This window comes from Homo sapiens, chromosome 8 (assembly GCF_000001405.40).
Source record: "Homo sapiens chromosome 8, GRCh38.p14 Primary Assembly".
NCBI classification, from domain to species: domain Eukaryota; kingdom Metazoa; phylum Chordata; class Mammalia; order Primates; family Hominidae; genus Homo; species Homo sapiens.
This window is the reverse complement of record NC_000008.11, coordinates 94,794,451-94,816,418: the sequence shown is the minus strand read 5'-3', so window position 1 is coordinate 94,816,418 and position 21,968 is coordinate 94,794,451.

Sequence of the window (21,968 nt, the reverse complement as noted above, 5' to 3'; positions counted from 1 at the left end):
ATAATACAGTAATGAGACTCCTTATCTAGGAGCAGAATAAGTAGATCAGTAGCTTCGTCAAAGTCTCCCAGAGAATAAATGTTAGAACCAGGGTTTGGTCCCTGATATGACCTTCGTTAAATTGAACCACTGCTATGGTCTGAATGTTTGTGTTCCCCCCACATTCATGTGTTGAAAACTAGACCATGCATGGTGGCTCACGCCTGTAATCCCAGCACTTTGGGAGGCCGAGGCGGGCGGATCACCTGAGGTAAGGAGTTCAAGACCAGCCTGGCCAACATGGTGAAACCCTGTCTACTAAAAATACAACTATCAGCCAGGCGTGGGCATGGGCGCCTGTAATCCCAGCTACTTGGGAGGCTGAGTAATGAGAATCGCTTGAACCCAGGAGGCGGACGTTGCAGTGAGCCGAAATCGCACCACTGCACTTTTGCCTGGGCGACAAGAGCGAGATTCCATCTCAAAAAAAAAAAAAAAAAAAAGAAAAGAAAAGAAAAGAAAAAGGAAAGCAAACTAACCCCCAAGGTTAGAAGGGAGGGGCCTCCTTTGGGAAGTGATTAGATCATGAGGGCAAGATCGCATGTGGAAGACCTATATGAAGAAAATAATAAAAATGTTATTCAAAAACATGAAGGATCTAAATAAATGGAGAGAAAAATTCTGCTCCTAGAGAGGGAGGCTGATTACTGTATTCTCAAATTTATCTACAGATTCAGTGAAATGATAATAAAAGTTCCATCAAATTTGTATGCTATTTGTTTATTTACTTATTTATTATTTTTTTAAGACAGAGTCTTGCTCTGTCACCCAGGCTGGAGTGCAGTGGCACAATCTCGGCTCACTGCAACCTCTGCCTCCCAGGTTCAAGCAATTCTCCTGCCTCAGCCTCCCAAGTAGCTGGGACTAACCACCACGCCCAGCTAATTTTTGTATTTGAGTAGAGATGGGGTTTCACCATGTTGGACAGGCTAGTCTCAAGCTCCTAACCTCAGGTCATCCGCCCTCTTCGGCCTCCCAAAGTGCTGGGATTACAGGCGAGGGCCACTGTGTCCAGCCGGTTTTTTTGTTTGTTTTTAAAAATAGTTGTAAATACATGAAAAAAATTTAAGAACAGTATAAAGAACTCTCCTATCCCCTTCACCCAAATGTGTCCATTGTTAATATTTTACCATACTTCCTCTCACCCTCTCTCCACAACAGCTCCCTACTTCCTTGTATACTGGGTAGAGTGACCAACTCTCTTAGTCCATTTTGTGCTGCTATAATGGAATACCTGAGACTGGGTAATTTCTAAGGAACAGAAATTTATTTCTCACATTTCTAGAGGCTGGGAAGTCCAAGATCAAGGTTTAGCCTCTGGTTCTGAGATGTCACCTTGTTGCTGCATCCTACAGAGAGGACTGCTGTGTCCTCACACAGCAGAAAGGCAGAAGAACAAGGGAGAACGAACCACTCCTGCAAGCCCTTTTTTATGGCAGCATTCATACTTTATGAGGGCAGAGTCCTCACGACCTAAACACCTCCCAAAAGGCCTCACCTCCCAATACTGTTGCATAAGAATAATTATGTTTCCAACACATTAATTTTGGAGGAGGCAAAAACATTAAAACCATAGCACCAACTCATCCCCGCTTGGCCAGGACTATGTCAGTTTTAAAACTGAAAGTCCTGCATTCCGGTAACCCCTCAGTGTGGGCACACTCTAACCCCAGGCACACCACCTGTGCAACCACACCCCTCACCTTGTCCCCATCTGCTTGGATACTGCGTGCTGACATCTCCACATGGAGAAGATGAGAAAGGAAGCTTGTAGTTAATTATCAATTAGTCAAACAGCCTGGAAAATGTCACAAGGCCTGAAATGTTCTAGAGTGTTTAGCTTCAGATCAAGGAAAAATTCACAAATGAGGTGGTAGCAGATTTAGTAACATCATAAGAATAAGTGAAATTCTGGCAAACCCCTTTTATAGTGATAATTATGTATTTGCAGGGCCCCTGGCAAGGTTCATATGCTGTATATGTTTACCAGTTACCATCAAGTAGAAGTTTCTGTTTTATGTTGATCATAAACCACAGTATCTAGTCCTGCTCTCCTCCTTCATGATAGTTTAAAATGTTTTCTTTTACATCCTCCCTGCTTCCTTGTTATTCTGGTAGCTCAGAGACTCGTTGCCTCTGAAATCTGGGTCTCTACAAAGTACAGCAAACTAGATGAGCTACAGTGAAAAAATAAAAATAAAAAAGCAGAGATATTATACAGTCTAAGGATGAAAATTATTTTCACCAAGGACTTCTGAAAATCACATAAATAAAAAAATAAACTAGGACGGGCACGGTGGCTCACGCCTATAATCCCAGCACTTTGGGAGGCTGAGGCGGGTGGATCACCTAAGGTCGGGAGTTCGAGACCAGCCTGGCCAACATGGTGAAACCTCATTTCTACTAAAAAATAAAAAAATTAGCTGGGGGAGGTGGCGCACGCCTGTAATCCCAGCAAATCGGGAGGCTGAGGCAGGAGAATCGCCTGAACCCAGGAGGCAGAGGTTGCAGTGAGCCGAGATCGCGCCGCTGCACTCCAGCCTGGGCAACAGAGACAGACTCTCTCTCGAAACAAACAAAAAACTTGAAATCGGTTAATTTCTTTGGTATTTCTTTAAAAAAATATGCAATACAATTCAGACATAAACATACAATTTAAAACTTTATTCAATAAATATTTTTGAGGTGGGGGAAACTGGCTGATGGATTCTACTGCCATCTTGTGGCCATTAGGGATAGTGTCCATATCTACCGGTAATACCGGCTGGCTGGTATCACCTCTTCCTTATACTTTCCAGTATGGAAGAAGGAATATGACTTGAGGATTGTGATTGGAAGTAACTAATTCTTTGTACAAGCTATCCTGCAACACCTAACTGAATTACATCTTGTTAGGGACTTCCAAAAACAGATCTGTCAAGAGGTAATAAGCGAGTCCTACCAAACATGACTTTTCTCTGCGGTCTTCACTACCTCCTTGGACAGGTAGGCACCCTGTTGTATGTGGCCATAGAGCTGTGCATCCCGGTCATGGCATTCATATCACCTCCTTGCAGTTACCTATTTAACAGTCTCACTTCCCCGGTAGACTCCAAGATCTTGGAGGTGGGGGTGGGGGAGAGCAGAATGGTGGTTATACCGTTTACCTGGTACAGCCTCTAGTACACAGCAGGCACCCAGTAAATATTTGCTAAATAAATAAATCTTTTATTAAACACAAAGCACCTGCCTTTTACATGCATGCAAATGCTTCCCTATAAACCAGATCTACAAACCTTTATTTAATCTTTGCTTTATCTAACCTAAAGCATTATTAACCTGTTCTTAAGATATTTATGACTCACTCTATTGTCTAGGTTTTATAATCAGCAATAAACTTAAAGCTTGTTGGGGCTCAGAAAACGATACCCTAAAATGAAGGCCCCAGAGACATAAGTTTCTCTCTGACCCTCTCCTGACCTCCTGTCTCTGGACCATCATTCTCCCCTAAGGCTTGCCATAGAAACCAGAACCCCTTTTCCCTGGAGCTAGCCATCAAACCTAATAATATTACTCTAACTTCACCCTCCCACCCATTTTTCTGTGTAAAAACTGACATTAAAAAATTATGTGAGCTACCTTGGTTTTGGGGGTTTTGTTTGTTTGTTTGTTGCTTTTTGAGACGGGGTCTCACTCTGTCATCCAGGCTGGAGTGCAGTGGTGCAATCTTGGCTTACTGCAACCTCTGCCTCCCAGGTTCAAATGATGCTCCTGCCTCAGCCTCCCTAGTAGCTGGGACTACAGGCGCACACCACCATGCACATCTAATTTTTGTATTTTTAGTAGAGATGGGGTTTCACCATGTTAGCCAGGCTGGTCTCGAACTCCTGACCTCAGGTGATCCACCTGCCTCGGCCGCCCAAAGTGCCCAGCTATGTTGTTTGGTTATAGGTCATGAGACCCCCATTCCAGAGAGGGTGCTGCCCTGTCCCCAGTAGGAAGGAATGCTGCACTGAGAAGCCAAGAAGAATCTAGACAGACCTTGCAGGGTGTCCCCACTCAGTCTATTATGGTTAAGTCATACTCTTTTTGTCCAATTACATCTGTACATGGCTGTTCATACTTTGTTGAAACTAAGCATACAATGGACAGGTTCCCCGGTATCTTTGAGTCTTCATTCTGAAGGCTCTCATGTCACAAAAAGCTATGATCAAATAAACTTATATGCCTTTTCTTCTATTTACCTGCCTTCTGTTAGCTGATTTTCAGTGAACCTTCAGAGGATGAAGCAGAAGTTTTCCTTTACCTCTACAGCTCTTCCAAGCAGTGTCCATGTCTATACATCTGTATTTGTGTTATCCATACAGCACCTAGCTGAATGGATAACCGAATGTAGGCCTTATTCACCTAATGGAAGGAACAGGTGTGTCCTTATTGCCATGACATAGCCAGAGCAGAGGTCATTCCACTTTCATCTGGCAACCGCCTGCTACCTTCCTTTATAACCTTCTGTACAGTGATTGCTATAGTTTGGATGTTGTCCCTTCTAAATCTCATGTTGAATTATAATCCCCAGTGTTGGAGAAGGGGCCTAGTGGGAGGTAACTGGATCATGGGGGTGGATTTCTCATGAATGGTTTAGCACCATCATCTTGGTGTTGTCTTTGTAATACTGAGTGAGTTTGAGATCTGATTGTTTAAAAGTGTGTGGTACTTGGCCGGGCGCAGTGGCTCATGCCTATAATCCCAGCACTTTAGGAGGCCAAGGTGGGCAAATCACTTGAGGTCAGGAGTTCTAGTCCAGCCTTAACAACGTGATGAAACCTCCATTAAAAATACAAAATTAGCCAGCCATGGTGGCACATACCTGTAATCCCAGCTACTCGGGAGGCTGTGGTAGAGGTCGCAGTGAGCTGAGATTGCGCCACTGCACTCCAGCCTGGGTGACAGAAGGAGACTCTGTCTCAAAAAGAAGAAAAAAAATGTGTGATACCTCCCCTGAACTCTCTTGCTCTTGCTCTCACCCTGTGAGATGCCTGCTCCCCTTTGCCTTTTGCCAGGATTGGAAGCTTCCTGAGGCCTCCCCAGAGGCAGATGGCAGTACCATGCTTCCTGTACAGCCTACAGAACAGTGAACCAATTAAATCTCTTTTCTTTATAAATTATCCAGTCTCAATTATTCCTTTATAGCAATGCAAGAATGGCCTAACAAAAAGATAGACAGGCTTGATTGGGGACTGGGCCAGACAGACTCCTCCGTCTCCATTTCTGCATTGCCAGGCTCACTGTGGGGAAGGGCTCAGTTCTTCAGACTGGCTAGTGGTCTGTCATGTACATTCGACCAGCTGGCATCTAGAGGAGAAGTCACAGGAGCTTTCATGTTAGTCTCTCTTTTTGTTTTTACTTCCAAGTACTATATGTTTACACTAAAGGCTTTAAAGCATAAAAATCTCTCTGCATACAGATAAACAGGACAAAATTTTAAGGTGTGCTTTTAGAGTCAGAACTTTCCTGACATTCTCAGTAGGTAGAAAAAGATTGTCATATTAAAATACTATCAGGATACCACAGGCTGTATTTACTCCTGTATTTCCCCATGCTGTTGAAAGATCATAATTGTCTGTGGTAGGCACACAGCTCTTAGCAAGCAGTTGACTTCATTCGTTATAATGGAATAAGCCAAGTTTCCAAAGTCTTATCCAGACAATTTCAGAATTAGAGCAGATGAGCATGTGCGGGCAAATAATGTGATTTCTTCAAATATCCAGTTCTTAGACCACATACACACAAAGCAGAGAACAGAGATATTCAAAGTATGGTTTGAAGACTGGTGTCAGCTCCTAAACTGTTTCTGGTCGGTATCAAGATAAGCACGGGAATTGACAGTATGAATTTACAAATTTTTACTGCAATTTGACATTGTCTTGATAGCCAAGTTAATGATCAGTGGTCTTGTCTGGGGGAGCAGGGACAGAAGAGTTTGGGTGTTGGGGGACTTGGGTGGCAAATTCAACATGCAGAGCTGGGAACTAGTCCTAAACGGTAGGACCACATATCAGTGTGCAACAGATTGCAACATGGAACACAAAATAAAACTGCTTCTCCACCATAGATATTTCGAGAAGCACTATTCTTTTTTTTTTTTTTTTTTTTTTTGAGACAGAGTTTTGCACTTGTTTCCCAGGCTGGAGTGCAATGCCGCAATCTCTATCTCGGCTCACCGCAACCTCCGCCTCCTGGGTTCAAGCGATTCTCCTGCCTCAGCCTCCCGAGTAGCTGGGATTACAGGTATGTGCCACCACGCTTGGCTAATTTTGTATTTTGAGTAGAGACGGGGTTTCTCCATGTTGGTCAGGCTGGTCTTGAACTCCCGACCTCAGGTGATCCTCCCGCCTTAGCCTCCCAAAGTGCTGGGATTACAAGCGTGAGCCACCACACCCGGCCGAGAAGCACTATTCTCTAGAATTCATATGGAAGAAATTCTCAGCCACACTTATTTACACATTCCTTCATATTTTTTGATAGAGATGGAAATCTTGCCCTGTTGCCCAGGCTGGTCTTGAACTCCCGCCCTCAAATGATCCTCCTGTCTTAGCTGGGATTACAGGCATATGAGCCATCTCCTTGGGCCTCTCAGCCACATTTAACAAAATTGAAGTTCACTGTACTGTAGAGATGGGGTTTCACCATGTTGGCCAGGCTGGTCTCGAACTCCTGACCTCAAATGATCCTCCCGCCTCAGCCTCCCAAAGTGCTGGGATTAAAGGCATGAGCTGCAGTGCCTGGCCTAAGAGTTGATTTTTTTTTCTTTTTTTGTTTTTTGAGACAGCCTCGCTCTGTCACCCAGGCTGGAGTGCAGTGGTGCGATCTCAGCTCACTGCAAGCTCCGCCTCCTGGGTTCACGCCATTCTCCAGCCTCAGCCTCCCAAGTAGCTGGGACTACAGGCGCCCACCACCACACCTGGCTAATTTTTGTACTTTTAGTAGAGACGGGGTTTTACCGTGTTAGCCAGGATGGTCTCAATCTCCTGACCTCGTGATCCACCTGCCCCAGCCTCCCAAAGTGCTGGGATTACAGGCGTGAGCCACCATGCCTGGCCTCTAAGATGATTTTTAAAGAAGAATAATATTAGACCTAGATATAAGTATGCTATTACAGTGCTATTTATAAAAGCAAAACAAATAGTAAGAAATTAAAAAAATAACCACAATGTTCTATAGCAGGGGAATAATTAAAGCAGTGTATTTCACCACAAAATGAGACATTGTATAATAACACAATTTTTGCTTTTGGAGAATAATATATACATAATTATATAAATTTTATAAATATTATATAGTTTATATAAATGTCATACATATGATACATATATGTTCATGATAAAATATAAAGCATAAAAGCAGGACCAAAAAAGGGTACAGAAAATTTTCCTAATTTTGTTAAAATTAGAAACACACACACACAAACACAATACAGTCTGTAAAGAAATATACCAAACAAATCAATATAGGGGCCATCTCTGCACAGTGGAACTCAACAGTACAGCAGTTGTCTCAGGTGATTTTGTGGCTCTCCAGGACTCCAGGAAGCTGGAAACTAATGCTTTTCAGGGACATATGCAACGACTCTCCTTTTTCCCTAGAGGAGGCTGTGGCTCTAAGTCTGGTTCACAAACCAGGCAAGCCCAGGGTTTGTAAACATTCCCACTGGTGGCCACACATTCATGGTTGGATAGGTTCTCCCACGGAGGGCAGAGAAAGCCCCACAGATGCCTGTGATACAGAAGGAAATTTAGCTTCTCTGGTTTGGCCACATAGTGCCAGTAAGATTTTGCATTCATGACTAATTAAATCAAGATCTCAATTAACCTGAAGGTAAGAGTCATGTATAAATAAATGTGTGTGCACTCAAATGGTTTCTCCCCCACAATCCTCAGTCCACTTGAATTTCACACTTTTTTCTTTATAGGTTTCTCTCTTTTCCTGATTTCCTACACTGATCATGGATTGCTTTTGATCCATACTATTTAAGGATAGAAAAAACTAGCAGACAGAGGCAGCTTAGCCATTAGGTGAGGAGCAATCACCCAGGGCTCCCCAAAGTCCAGGGTGTTACTAGGCCATAGACTTCAACTGTCAGCACTGTGGCCTTCGAGCCTAACAAGAAAATATGAAAGATCAACCATTGTTTGTAAACACATTCCTGCTCCTCTAAAAAAGAATGAGATCCTGTCATTTGCAATAACATGGATGGAACTGGAGATCATCAAGTAAAATAAACCAGACACAGAAAGACAAAGTTCACATGTTCTCACTTATTTGTGGGAGCTAAAAATTAAAACAATTTAACTTATGGAGATAGAGAGTGGAAGGATGGTTAGCAGAAGCTGGGATGGGTAGTGAGGGGTGGGGGGAGGTGGGGATGGTTAATGGCTACAAAAAAATAGAAAAAATGAATAAGACCTAGTATTTGATAGCACAACAGGGTTACTATAGTAAACAATAATTTAATTGTATTAAAAATCAGTAAAAGAGTATAATTGGATTGTTCGCAATACAAAGGATAAATGCTTGAGGGGCAGACACCCCACTTACCATGATGTGATTATTATGCATTGCATGTCTGTATCAAAGTATCTCATGTGCCCCATAAATATATATACCTACTATATACCCATGTAAATTAAAAATAAAAAATGGAAAAAAGAATTGATTTTTAAAAAATTTGAGCCAACTAATAAAACACACCATGACTCCATGACTTCATCCTCTAGCAAAAAGAGCTTCTCTATTTATAAAAGGAATTTTCTGTGAAGCACCACTGAAATGTTTCAGAGAACACGGAAACGGGGCACCATGGAATCACAGCTGGTCACACACATGCTTGGGAGGAGCAGTGGAGAATCCCCACTCTTATTATCATGGAATGTTGAAAATAGAGAATGTGTTATGTGTTCTTTGAAGAAAGCAATGTATGAAGAAACCTTTAGTAAATCCCTGGGTGGTGGTGTTGGCTTCCAGACTGACCAATTCAAAGGGAGAGAGATACCTTCTCAGCCTCACCCTGCCACCTGTCCCAGCATTACCCATCACTTTCACTCAAGTTATAAGATATAAACAGGAAAAAAAAATTCCAATGACATTTTCTAATTTTTCTTCCTACTTGGAAACATCCCTCTTCATGACACAGCTTTTCTTTTATTTTTTTTATTTTTTTGAGACAGAGTTTCACTCTTGTCGCACAGGCTGGAGTGCAATGGCGAGATCTCAGCTCACTGCAACCTCTGCCTCCTGGGTTCAAGCGATTCTCCTGCCTCAGCCTCTAGAGTAGCTGGGATTATAGGTGCGCACCACCATGCCCACCTAATTTTTGTATTTTTAGTAGAGACGGGGTTTCACCAAGTTGGCCAAGCTATTCTTGAACTCCTGACCTCAGGTGATCCACCCACCTCGGCCTCCCAAAGTGCTGCGATTAGAAGCATGAGCCACCACACCCAGCCAAAACAGCTTTCCCAAACAATGTACTCTGCCTTGGTAGATATTATACAACTAAATTAAAGGAGAATCACCTGCTGCAGGACAGTTCTCTGGGTGACCCCGTTATTTCTTCTTTCTTGCTTGTACTTCTCAATAATAACTAGGCTGGGCTCAGTGGCTCAAACACCTGTAATCCCAGCATTTTGGGAGGCCGAGGCAAGAGGATCGCTTGAGCTCCAGAGTTTGAGACCAGCCTGGGCAACATTGTCAGACCACTGTCTCTAGAAAAAAAAAAAATTAGCCGGGCATAGTGGTGTGCACCTGTAGTCCCAGCTACTTGGGAGGCTGAGGCAGATAAGTTGCTTGAGCCCAGGAGTTTGAGACTACAGTGAGCCACGAGGCATCGCTGCATTCTGGCCTGGACAACAGAGCAGGATCTTGTCCCTTTAAAAAAAAAAAATCTGTGGAGTGGTGGTCACCTATGGAGACTACTGGTATTGGCTCTCGGTACCAATGAGCCACTGGGTTTGTGTGTGTAACTGCACTTTATTGTAGGTTTGTACAGCTGAGAGTTTTCTTTTTTCTTTCTTTTTTTTTTTGAGACGGAGTCTTGCTCTGTCACCCAGGCTGGAGTGCAGTGGCGCCATCTTGGCTCACTGCAACCTCTGCCTCCCAGGTTCAAGCAATTCTCCTGTCTCAGTCTCCTGAGTACTTTATTGTATTTCTTGCACGTGTTTCCAATGGATGAACTTTATTGGTTTTCTTGCAAGTGTTTCTAATGGATGAACTTTAATAAGGTTGGTAAGAGTGGCCAAGAGGGCATCTAACTCTACATCCAAATGAGAGAAGACGCTACAAATGTGTGTTAGTAAGACAAAAACAGGGCTCACCTAAGGTTTGACATAAAAGAAATTTAGAACAGTGCTATTCATACCAGTAGCAATTAAAAGCTCTAATGTTTATGCATATTCTTTGTTCGCTTTAACTGGCGGGGGGGAGGTGCAGGAAAATTTAGGAATTGTTCTGTAAGTTCACTTTTAAAATTAATAACATATTTATTTGCCCTTGTAAAATAGCAAATGTTTGAGAAATTTTTACAATGTTCACTTCTTCCCCCACCCAGCTTATAAAAATGCTTTTATTAAAACAAGCCAAAGTGAAAACAAAACAAAAAAATAGTGTTCTTGACATGCAACAACTTAAGGAGGAATTGGATGGAACAGCCCAGACTCTGCTCCTCTTCTTCTAGAGCAGAATGTCCTACAATACTTTAGTCCGGTGATCACATGCCCCTGGGGCATAAAACCCAGGGCAGACTGCTTTCCAGGGTCCCCCAGCTGTCGTGAAAGTGAGGCATGTGCGGACAAGACTTCACCCACCCTGGACAGCCTTCCTGAGCTTCTGTTGCCTATCAGTCAGTAATAGACCTGTTGATAGTCAGCTGCCTATCAGTCAGTAATAGACCTGTTGATAGTCAGCTGCCTATCAGTCAGTAATAGACCTGCTGCGTGCGGCCTGTGTGCGAGTGTTCTGTCTTCTCAGACTCTTGGGAGTCATAGAAACTGGTATAGCCCAAGGTGCAGTGGGTGAGATGTTTAGTCTTCCTCTGGGAATGACACTGGCCCACAGTGAACCTGCTTCACACCTATTACTTGGCAGGTTGATTTGGAAGATAGGAGCTAGTGGGTAGAAAGAATAGTTAACTGGCCTCACCGCAATCCACTGGTGCTCAAAGTATTGTTCCTGAACCAGCAGTATCAGCATTATCTGAGAACCTGCTAGAAATGCACATTTTCAGATACTACCCCAGACCTACTGAATCAGAAATTCTGGGGTTGAAGCCCAACCAGCTGAGGTGTATCAAGCCCTCCAGGTGGTTCATAACGCATGCTCATGTTTAATGCACATTACAATCACCTGGGGAGCTTTTACAACTCAGCTGGCTCAGCCACACCCAAAACCAATTAAGTCAGAATCTCAGCAGGTGGGACACAGCTTATCAGTATTTTTGCTTTAATTTCCCAGGATTCCATTGTGCAGCCAAGGTAGAGAACCAGTGTTGGGTCTAATCTTTTATTTTTATTTTATTTTATTTTTTTTGAGATGGAGTCTTACTCTGTCACCCAGACTGGAGTGCAGTGGCGCAATCTTGGCTCACTGCAACCTCCACCTCCTAGGTTCAAGCGATTCTCCTGCTACAGCCTCCTGAGTAGCTGGGATTACAGGCGCCTGCCACCACAATAGCTAATTTTTGTATTTTTAGTAGAGACAGGGTTTCATGATGTTGGCCAGGCTGGTCTTGAACTCCTGAACTGAAGTGATCCGCCCACCTCGGCCTCCCAAAGTGCTAGGATTACAGGCATGAGTCATCGCGCCCGGCGCATTTTATTTTATTTTTTATTTTTTATTTTTTTTTTTTTTGAGACGGAGTCTCGCTCTGTCGCCCAGGCTGGAGTGCAGTGGCGCGATCTCGGCTCACTGCAAGCTCCGCCTCCCGGGTTCACGCCATTCTCCTGCCTCAGCCTCCCGAGTAGCTGGGACTACAGGCGCCCGCCACCGCGCCCGGCTAATTTTTTTTTTGTATTTTTAGTAGAGACGGGGTTTCACCGTGTTAGCCAGGATGGTCTCGATCTCCTGACCTCGTGATCCGCCCGCCTCGGCCTCCCAAAGTGCTGGGATTACAGGCGTGAGCCACCGCGCCCGGCCCGCATTTAATTTTTTGACTGAGCTTTCTTTTCTGCTGTCTTTCCTCATTACTAACAGTGGCTATAAATGAAAACGGAAGTATACTTTTATTATTTGTATACTTTTATTATTTGCTTAAATCTGACATTCAAATTTTTATGGTTATAAAATAAAGGCTTTTGCTACTTTAAAACTTGTATTTCCTTTAGTTGGGTGTGGTGGTGTGTGCCTGTAATCCTAGTTACTCAGGAGGCTGAGGCGGGAGGATTGCTGGAGTCTAGGAGTTAGGGGTTGCAATGAGCTATCATCTTGCCACTGCATTCAAGCCTGGGCCTGGGTGACAGATCAAGACCCCATCTCAAAAAAAAATTATTTCTTGCACAGCCATGTGAATGTACTTTATATATATATATACACGTAATATATATATACATACTTTATATAAGGTATGTTCACATTGCTCTGTATATATTATATATAAAACAAATGCAAGTATTTCTTTTAAAAGATAATCTCTCTCTTCATAAGTGCCTAAGTCCTTTTCTCCTAAAAAGTTTAATTCACAGATCAACATAGAACATATTTCAATACCCCAAGGAACCATTTATGACATTATAGCAACATATATAATAATTTTCCTAATTTTTACATATTTATTGAAGTGTAACTGATATACAATAAACTGCATGTACTTATGTAAGTGTATGTATTATATAGTATATATATAATGGTATAGTATATAGTATATTATAGTATTATAGTTTATAGTATTATATAGTATATAGTTATATGGTATATAGTATAGTATTATATAGTATATGTTATAGAGTATATACAGTTATATTGGGTAAGATTTCACATTCATATACACTTGTGAAACCTTCACCACAATCGAGATAGTGAATGTGTCCATCATCTCTAAAGGTTTCCTTGCATCTTTTACAATTCCTCCATCCTGTCCCTCCCCAACCTCTACACCCCATCTGCAGGCAACCATTGACCTGCTGTATATCACAATAGGTGAGTTTACATTTTCTAGTTATATAAGTAAAATTATACTGTATGTACATTTTGACTTCTTTCACTTAGCACAATTATTTTGAGATTCATTCATGTAGTTATGTTTATAATAGTTTATTCTTTTTTATTGTTGAGTGGTATTTCACTATATAGATGAAATACAATTTGTTTATTCTGAACTTATATATTTTTCTGTTTTTGGAGTTAAAGTGTCTTTTTCTTAGAAAATGGTGTTTTTAATAAATGATGGTTACCTTTCTAGTGTCCTCATGTACCAAAAGAAAAAGTTAGGCTGGGAACAGTGGCTGAAGCCTGTAATCCCAGCTATCTGGGAGGCTGAGATGGGAGATCACTTGAGGCTAGGAGTTCGAGACCAACCTGGGCAACATAGTGAGACACCCCCTCCCCCCGCCATCTCTAAAAAAGTGGTGCATGCCTGCAGTCTCAGCTACTCTGGAGGTTGAGACAGGAGGATTATTTAAGCCCAGGAGTTCGAGGCTGATTGCACCACTGCAGCTTGGGCAATAGAACAAGATCTTACCTCTTAAAAAAATAAACAAAAAGTTGGCAACTTAATGTCAATCCCCCAAGTACATATATTTTAGAAATATAAGGATCTGCAAAATCCAGAAGCCTGGAAAGAACTGCCCAGTGACTTCCCATTGATAGACTCAGTCTCCTTTTCTCAGACAAGTGGTGTAGGGGAAGGCAAATAACCTGGGCCTACCAAAGCACTGTACTTTTGCGGGGGCCATCATGAAAGATGTTCCCTCCTTTTCTGGAATTTGAAGCTGCTAGCAGACACTGCTGTGGTGTGCAGAATGCCTGCTGACCATGAAGCCAGGTGAAGGTAACGAACTGAGAGGTGGAGGCAGGCAGAAGGAGTCATGGTAACACTGGGTGAACCTCTGGATTTATCCCTTCCTGTACTCATCAACGATTGAAAATTCCCTAGTACAAAAGCGAATAAATTCCTTTTCTGCTCAAGCTAATTTGAACTGACTTTTTGTCACTTGCAGCCAAAGGTCCTGACTAATAAATCTGTTCATATACATCATGTAGCTCTGGTCAGGTAGAAATATATGCAGGAGAAAACATGGCTCTTAGAGGCTGGGCGCAGTGGCTCACGCCTGTAGTCCCAGCACTTTGGGAGGCCGAAGCGGGTGAATCACGAGGTCAGCAGATCGAGACCATCCTGGCTAACACGGTGAAACCCTGTCTCTACCAAAAATACAAAAAATTACCTGGGCGTGGTGGCGGGCGCCTGTAATCCCAGCTATTCGGGAGGCTGACGCAGGAGAATGGCGTGAACCCGGGAGGCGGAGCTTGCAGTGAGCCGAGATCATGCCACTGCACTCCAGCCTGGGCCACAGAGGGAGACTTCATCTCAAAAGAAAAGAAAAGAAAAGAAAACATGGCTGTTAGAATAGGTTCTCTCATGTGGTGAGGAGAAAAAGCTCTGTACTTTTCTCCCATCACTTTTTGGAAGCTGTAGTGACTCCCATTCCTATGCTAATTTACCTGTTGCCCTTCACAGAACTATTAAAATTCAGCCTCCAAGTCCTTATCTGAAAACTGTGATACAGGTTACCCCTGATAAGCACATGACCCTGTAGTCTAATTCCAACATTAAGGGGACAGCTTAGTGCACTGATCCATCACTTCCAGTAACAGAGAAGAGGAAGAAACCAAACTTCTGCTTTTTATTTATTTATTTATTTATTTATTTATTTATTTATTTATTTATTTATTTATTGACGGAGTCTTGCTCTGTTGCCAGGCTGGAGTGCAGTGGCACGATCTCGGCTTACTGCAACCTCCGCCTCCCGGGTTCAAGCGATTCTTCTGCCTCAGCCTCCCGAGTAGCTGGGACTACAGGCGCCTGCCACCGCGTCTGGCTACTTTTTTTGTAATTTGAGTAGAGATGGGGTTTCACCATATTGTCCAGGCTGGTCTCGAACTCCTGACCTCATGATCTGCCCGCCTTGGCCTCCCAAAGTGCTGGGATTACAGGTGTGAGCCACCACGCCTGGCCTCTGCTTTTTATTTATATTTTAACTCTATCAAGGGCTAATTTTTTTTATTTTTTATTTTTCGAGATGGAGTTTCGCTCTTGTTGCCCAGGCTGGAGCGCAATGGTGCGATCTCAGCTCACTGCAACCTCCACCTTCCAGGTTCAAGTGATTCTCCTGCCTCAGCCTCCCAAGTAGCTGGGACTACAGGTGCCTGCCACCATGCCCAGCTAATTTTCTATTTTTAGTAGAGACGGGGTTTCACCATGTTGGTCAGGCTGGTCTCGAACTCCTGACCTCAAGTGATCCACCCACCTCGGCCTCCCAAAGTGCTGGGATTACAGGCGTGAGCCACTGCGCCCAGCCTATCAAGGGCTTATTTTAACTCGCAGTGGCATGATGACAGCTCACTGCAGCCTCAACCTCCTGAGAAGAAACACCTTTCTTTTCAGTAAACCCATCCCAAACTAAAACATCCCAATTCTCAGCCCACAATTGTGTCAGGGCTCAACTCCTCCTGCAGAGCAGTCACGGAGAGTGCAGTGGTACTACAGCCCCTCTTTCCCACACCAGATATGTCATGATCCTTTACAAACACCAGCATCAGCCAAAAGTCAACATGCTGTTTGGCTGCAGATGACTACTGCATTTTAAAGGCCAGAGCAGCAAAAAATGCACCAGAAATCGAGGACGCTCCCTTCTCAGAAACTCCTACTCATCCTTCAGATCTCAGCACCAAAGCTCCTTTCTCAGGGACCTTTTCTTATCCCAAAATCCAAAGTCATGTCCCCCCACCACCTGTTTTTTTTTTTTTTGTTTGTTTTTGTTTTTTGAGACGGAGTCTCACTCTGTCACCTAAGCTGGAGTGCAGTGGCATGATCTCGGCTCACTGCAACCTGTGCCTCCCGGGTTTAAGTGATTCTTCTGCCTCAGCCTCCTGAGTAGCTGGAATTACAGGCGCCTACCACCACGCCTGGCAAACTTTTGTATTTTTAATAGAGATGGGGTTTCGCTACGTTAGGCAGGCTGGTCTTGAACCCCAGACCTCAGGTGATCTACCGCCTTGGCCAACCAAAGTGCTGGGATTAAGGCGTGAGCCACCACATCCGGCCAGTCATGTCCCCTTGTTACACTTACATAGAATCCTGCATTTACTCCATTACATTAACCCATTTCTGCCTAGTGTTCCATTATTGAAATGCTAAGCTTGTGAGAGTTATTTATATCCTACTGCTCAAGGTCATTGCCAAGGTCTGATTGCAAAAATTCAAAAAATTGCAACCTCCAGCCTAAATGGGTTAATGATGGTTTTTACTCACATTTTTATTTGTATCATTCGTTTTCTATTCCTCTTCCCTGTCACCTTCCCTTAGATCATGAGCTCTGAAAGCCCAGTCACTTGCAGCCTTTCACTCCCCAGTGTCCCGGCATCTAGGGACACAGCAGGTGCACAATCAATAAGGAACAGGAAAAACACCCTTTCCTTTCAAACTTTGCTGTTGTCCTGAAAAAGATCTTCCAGTCTTTGATGCATGTGCCTGACCATGGGTGCAGCCTTGGCATTCATACATTTCTCTATTCCAGTCTTCAGAGTCATTCTTCATGGGAGAGCAGAACTTTTTGTTTCACTCTAGCGGCAATAGTCCTTTTAAGAATCAGTTCTCAGCTCCCAAAACATCTTTCTTCATGTTCCATGCTTTCCAACTGTGAAACCCACAGGCAGGGCCAAGTGTTAGGAAGACAGGACATTTACCACTTCTTGGCACCTTTGCTCCAGAAGAACTTAAGTGCCCAAACCTACCCCAGACCCACTTCAGATGGCCAGCAGGCAGCCGCTGGATGCCCCGCAGCCCAGTGTTGCCATAGCCTACGCTCTGCACCCACTCTAAGCACCAAAGAAGCTGCCAAAGGAGCTCCCAGGACCCATGCCTTGGGCTCCCTCCCTCCACCTTGGTGCCTTAGTCTCCTCCCTGCATCGTCTTTGAGAAGCATTACCTTGAGGGGAGACTTAGGTTTTGCCATTTTACCAGACAGAATGAGAGCCTCGGGTGAAATGTTTTTGTTCGAGAGCTGTGTTTTGTAGGAAGACACTTCTTCTTTTATTTATTTGTTTGTTTGTTTCTTGAGATGAAGTCTCACTCTGTTGCCCAGGCTGGAGTGCAGTGGCGTGATCTCCTCTCACTGCAACCTCCGCCTTCCGGGTTCAAGCGATTCTCCTGCCTCAGCCTCCCGCGTAGCTGAGATTACAAACATGCGCCACCATGCCTGGATAACTTTTGTACTTTTAGTAGAGATGGGGTTTTGCCATGTTGCCCAGGCTGGTCTCGAACTCCTGACCTCAAGTGATCCGCCTGTCTTGGCTTCCCAAAGTGCTGGGATTATAGGCGCGAGCCACCGCACCCAGCCTCAAGACACTCTTTTTGTGACAGGTCTGAAATCTGTGGCTACAGGGCTGTGGGGAGATCCCTGCACCACCTGAAGGCCAACTCAGCTCACAGGCTGGTCAGGAGAGAGATGGACAAGGCATCAATTAACAACAAATGTAGGGGAGAGGAAGTAATGCATTTTCCTTACTCATGGTAAAGGTCATGGCTGAGGTTCATAAAACTTTAAGAACACTAATTTAAGGGAATCATATACTTGCTTCCCCCAAACCCCATCAGCCTTGCAGTTCTAGATATAATAGAGTTGGTCTTGGAGAAGACCACTTAACCATGAGAGGCTGGGAGAGGGTTGCAATGATGGGCCACCCAAGAGATGAGAGTTCTCAACCCCTCAGGCAGAGGCAGAGCCCAGCAGAACTTCCAGGTCGGGTGGGACAGGGATGCCTCGCTCCGTTTGTATTTATTTGTAGCTGTGCCCCAAACTTCCTGTTGCAAACTTCATTTGCATCTGCCCCCATAAAATCAGAAACAAGTGTGCGAATATCAGTGCCTTTGAGTGAGACCCAAAGAAAGGGAGACCCGGGCTCTTTAAACCAAAAAACAAAACAAAACAAACAAAAAAAACAAGCAACGAATTGGGAAAGAATATTTAGGAAACACATATCTGATAAAGGACTTGCATCCAAAATATACAAAGAACTTTAAAAATTCAACAATAAGAAAAAGACAGAATAGGCAAAAGATGAATAGCTACCTCACCAAGGAAGATATACAGATAGCAAATAAGCATACGAAAATATGCTCAACATCATATGTCATTAGGCAATTGTCACTTAAAGTAACAATGAGAGGCAGAGGCAGAGCCCAGCAGAACTTCCAGGTTACTACACACATTAGAATGACTAAAATCCAAAACTGACACCACTAAATGCTGACAGGGATATGAAGCAACAGAACTTTCAGTCATTGCTGGTGGGAATGCAAGACGGTACAGCCATTTTGGAAGAGAGCTCGGCAGTTTCTTATTAATCCAAAGGTTAGTAGTACCACACCATCAAGCAATTGCACTTCTTGTTAGTTACCCAAATGGGTGGAAAACTTATGTCCACAAAAACCCTGCACATATTTATGGCAGCTTTATTCACAATGGCTAAACTTGGAAGCAACCATGATGTCCCTGAATAAATAAACGCCCACATACTCATACAATGGAATGTTTTTCAGCAATAACAAGAAATGAGCTATGAAGCCATAAAAAGACGTGGGGGAGCCTGAAACGCATGTTGCTAGTCAAAGAAGCCAATCTGAAAAGGCTGCATACTGCATGATTCCAAACAGCTGACATTCTGAAAAGGCAAAACTACAGAGACAGTAAAAAGTCAGTGGTTGCCAGGGACTCGGGAAGGGAGGGAGAGATGAATACGGAGAGCACACAGGAATTTTAGGGCAGTAAAACTGCTTACTCCAGATGCTGTGATAGTGGACATGTGAGACCCATAGAAACATTTGTCAAAACCCACAGAACAGTACACCACAAAGAGTGAACCCTATGTAAACTATAGTCTTTAGTTAATAATAATTTGTCAATTTGCCTCAATTGTAAGCAATGTGCCATTCAAATACAAGGTGTTGAGTTAGAGGAAACTGTGTGTGTATGGGCGGAGGGGAGCCCGAGTGTATGGAAATTCTCTGTATGTTTTGTCCAATTTTTCTGTAAGCCTAAAACTGATCTTTTTAAAAAAGCAAAATAAAGACATTCCCAGATAAACAAACACGGAGGAAGTTCATTGCTAACAGATTCATCTTTTAAAAATTACTAAAGGAAGTTCTTGAGGCTGAAAGCAAGTGATCCCAGACAATAATTAGAATTCGCTGAAAAAAACAAGGAGTATTGGTAAAAGTAACTATTTAATTATAAAAGATAAATACATATTTCTTCTCTAAACTGATTTTTAAAATAACTGTATAAAATAATCCGTATATAATTATATTGTTGAACTTACATTATAGATACATATATATTTGACATAACAGCACAAAGGAGGTAAGTTGAAAGCAAAGCTGTACTGGAGTAAGACAATGACACCAGATTGTATCTTGAATCCATGGCAACAAATAAAAAGAACCAAAAATGGCAAATAAGGTTAATATAGCAAATACTACATATACTTTTCTTTTGTTCTCTCAGTTTCTTTAAAAGACAAAATTATCTAAAGTAATAAGTATATTTATTATAGTGTTTATAACATATATAGATGTAATATGTATAAAAATAATAGTATCAAAGAGGGAAGAGGGAATAGAGCTTTTTAGGACTAACGCTTCTGTATCTCACTGGAATTAAGTTAGTATAAATCTGCTTAGTATGATAGCTGGGTGCAGTAGCTCACACTTGTAATCCCAGCACTTTGGGAGGCCAAGGCAGGGAGATCACTGGAGCCCAAGAGTTTGAGACCAGACTGGGCAGCATGGAGAAACCCCGTCTCTACAAAAAATACAAAAATGAGGTGGGTGCAGTGGTGCCTTCCTGTAATCCCAGCTACTCGGGAGGCTGAGGGAGGAGGATGGATTAAGCCTGGGAGTTCAGAGCTGCAAGTAAGCCATGATCACACCATTGCACTCCAGCCCGGGCAACAGAGCAATATCCTGTCTCAAAAAAAAAAAAAAAAAAAATGTATATGATAAATCCTTAGAGTAACCACTTAAAAAAAAATCAAATGAAACATTTAGAAAAATAGTAAAATAGCAAGTGTAAAGCCAACTACATCAAAAATATTAAATGTGAGTGAAGAGCCTGAGAGTTCGAGGCTGCAGTGAGCTGTGACTGTGCCACTGCACTCCAGCCTGGGTGACGGAGCAAGACCCTGTCTCAAAAAAAAAAAAAAAAGAATGAATTAAATAATGCAAACAAAACTAAAAGCATTTGTGCTTCAAGGACACTCAAAAAAGTTAAGAGAATCAACTGAATGGAAGGAAATATTTCCACATCATATATTTGACCTTATATCTAGAATACATAAAGAATACTTAACATCTCAATAATAAAAACACAACCCAACTTAAAAATGGGCAAAGAGGGCTGGGCGCAGTGGCTCACGCCTCTAATTCCAGGACTTCGGGAGGCCGAGGCAGGTGGATAGCTGGGTGTGGTGGTGTGCACCTGTAATCCCAGCTACTCAGGAGGCTGAGGCAGGAGAATCGCTTGAACCTGGGAGGTGGAGATTGCGGTGAGCCAAGATTGTGCCATTGCACTGCAGTCTGGGCAACAAGAGCAAAACTGTCTCAAGAAAAAAAAAAAAAAAAAAAAAGGCAAAGAATTTGAATAGACATTGCTCCAAATAAGATATACAGACAGCCAATAAGCACATGAAAAGGTGCTCAACATAATTAGCTATGATGGAAATGTGAATTAAAACTATAGTGATAAATAGCTGCATTCACTGGGGTGGGTATAATCAAGAAAATAATAAGTATTGGCAAGGATGTGGAGAAATTAGAATCCTCATCCCTTGTTGGGGGGATCGTAAAATGGTGCAGCCACTTTGGAAACCAGTCTGGTTGTTGAAGTTAACCAGTTACCATATGACCCGGCAATTTAACTCCTAGATATATACCTAAGAGAAACGAACATATGCCCACACAAAAACCTGTATACAGATAATCCTATCAGCATTATTCATAATAACTAAAAAGTAGAAACAACACAAATGTCTATCAACTAATGAATGGATAAAATGTGGTAAATACATACAGTGGAATATTACCTGGCACTAAAAATGAATGAATGATACATGGAACAACATGGATGAACCTTAAAAAGATTCCAAGTGAAAGAAGCATGTTGTATGATTCAATTTATATGAAATGTCCAGAACAGGCAAACATAGAGATAGAAAATAGATTAGTAGTGGTTGCCTAGGGCTAGGGAGGACAGAATGATTGGGTTGACAGCCAGAAGGGTATGAGGTTTCTTTTGGGAGTAATAAAAATGTGTTAAAATTGATTGTGGTGATAACTGCATAGCTCTATGAACGTACTAAAAACCACTGAATTGTATATTTTATTTTTATTTATTTATTTATTGAGACAGGGTCTCCCTCTGTCATCCAAGCTGGAGTGCAGTGGTGTGATCACAGTTCACTGCAACCTCCACCTCCCTGACCTAAGTGATCCTCCTGCCTCAGCCTCCCAGGTAGCTGGGACTACGGGTGTGCGCCACCACGTCCGGCTACATTTTTGTATTTTTTTGTAGAGATGGGGTTTCTCCATGTTGCCCAGGCTGGTCTCAAACTCTTGGGTTCAAGCAATCTGCCCACCTTAGCCTCCCAAAGTGTTGGGATTACGGGCATGAGCCACTGCACCCGGCTGAATT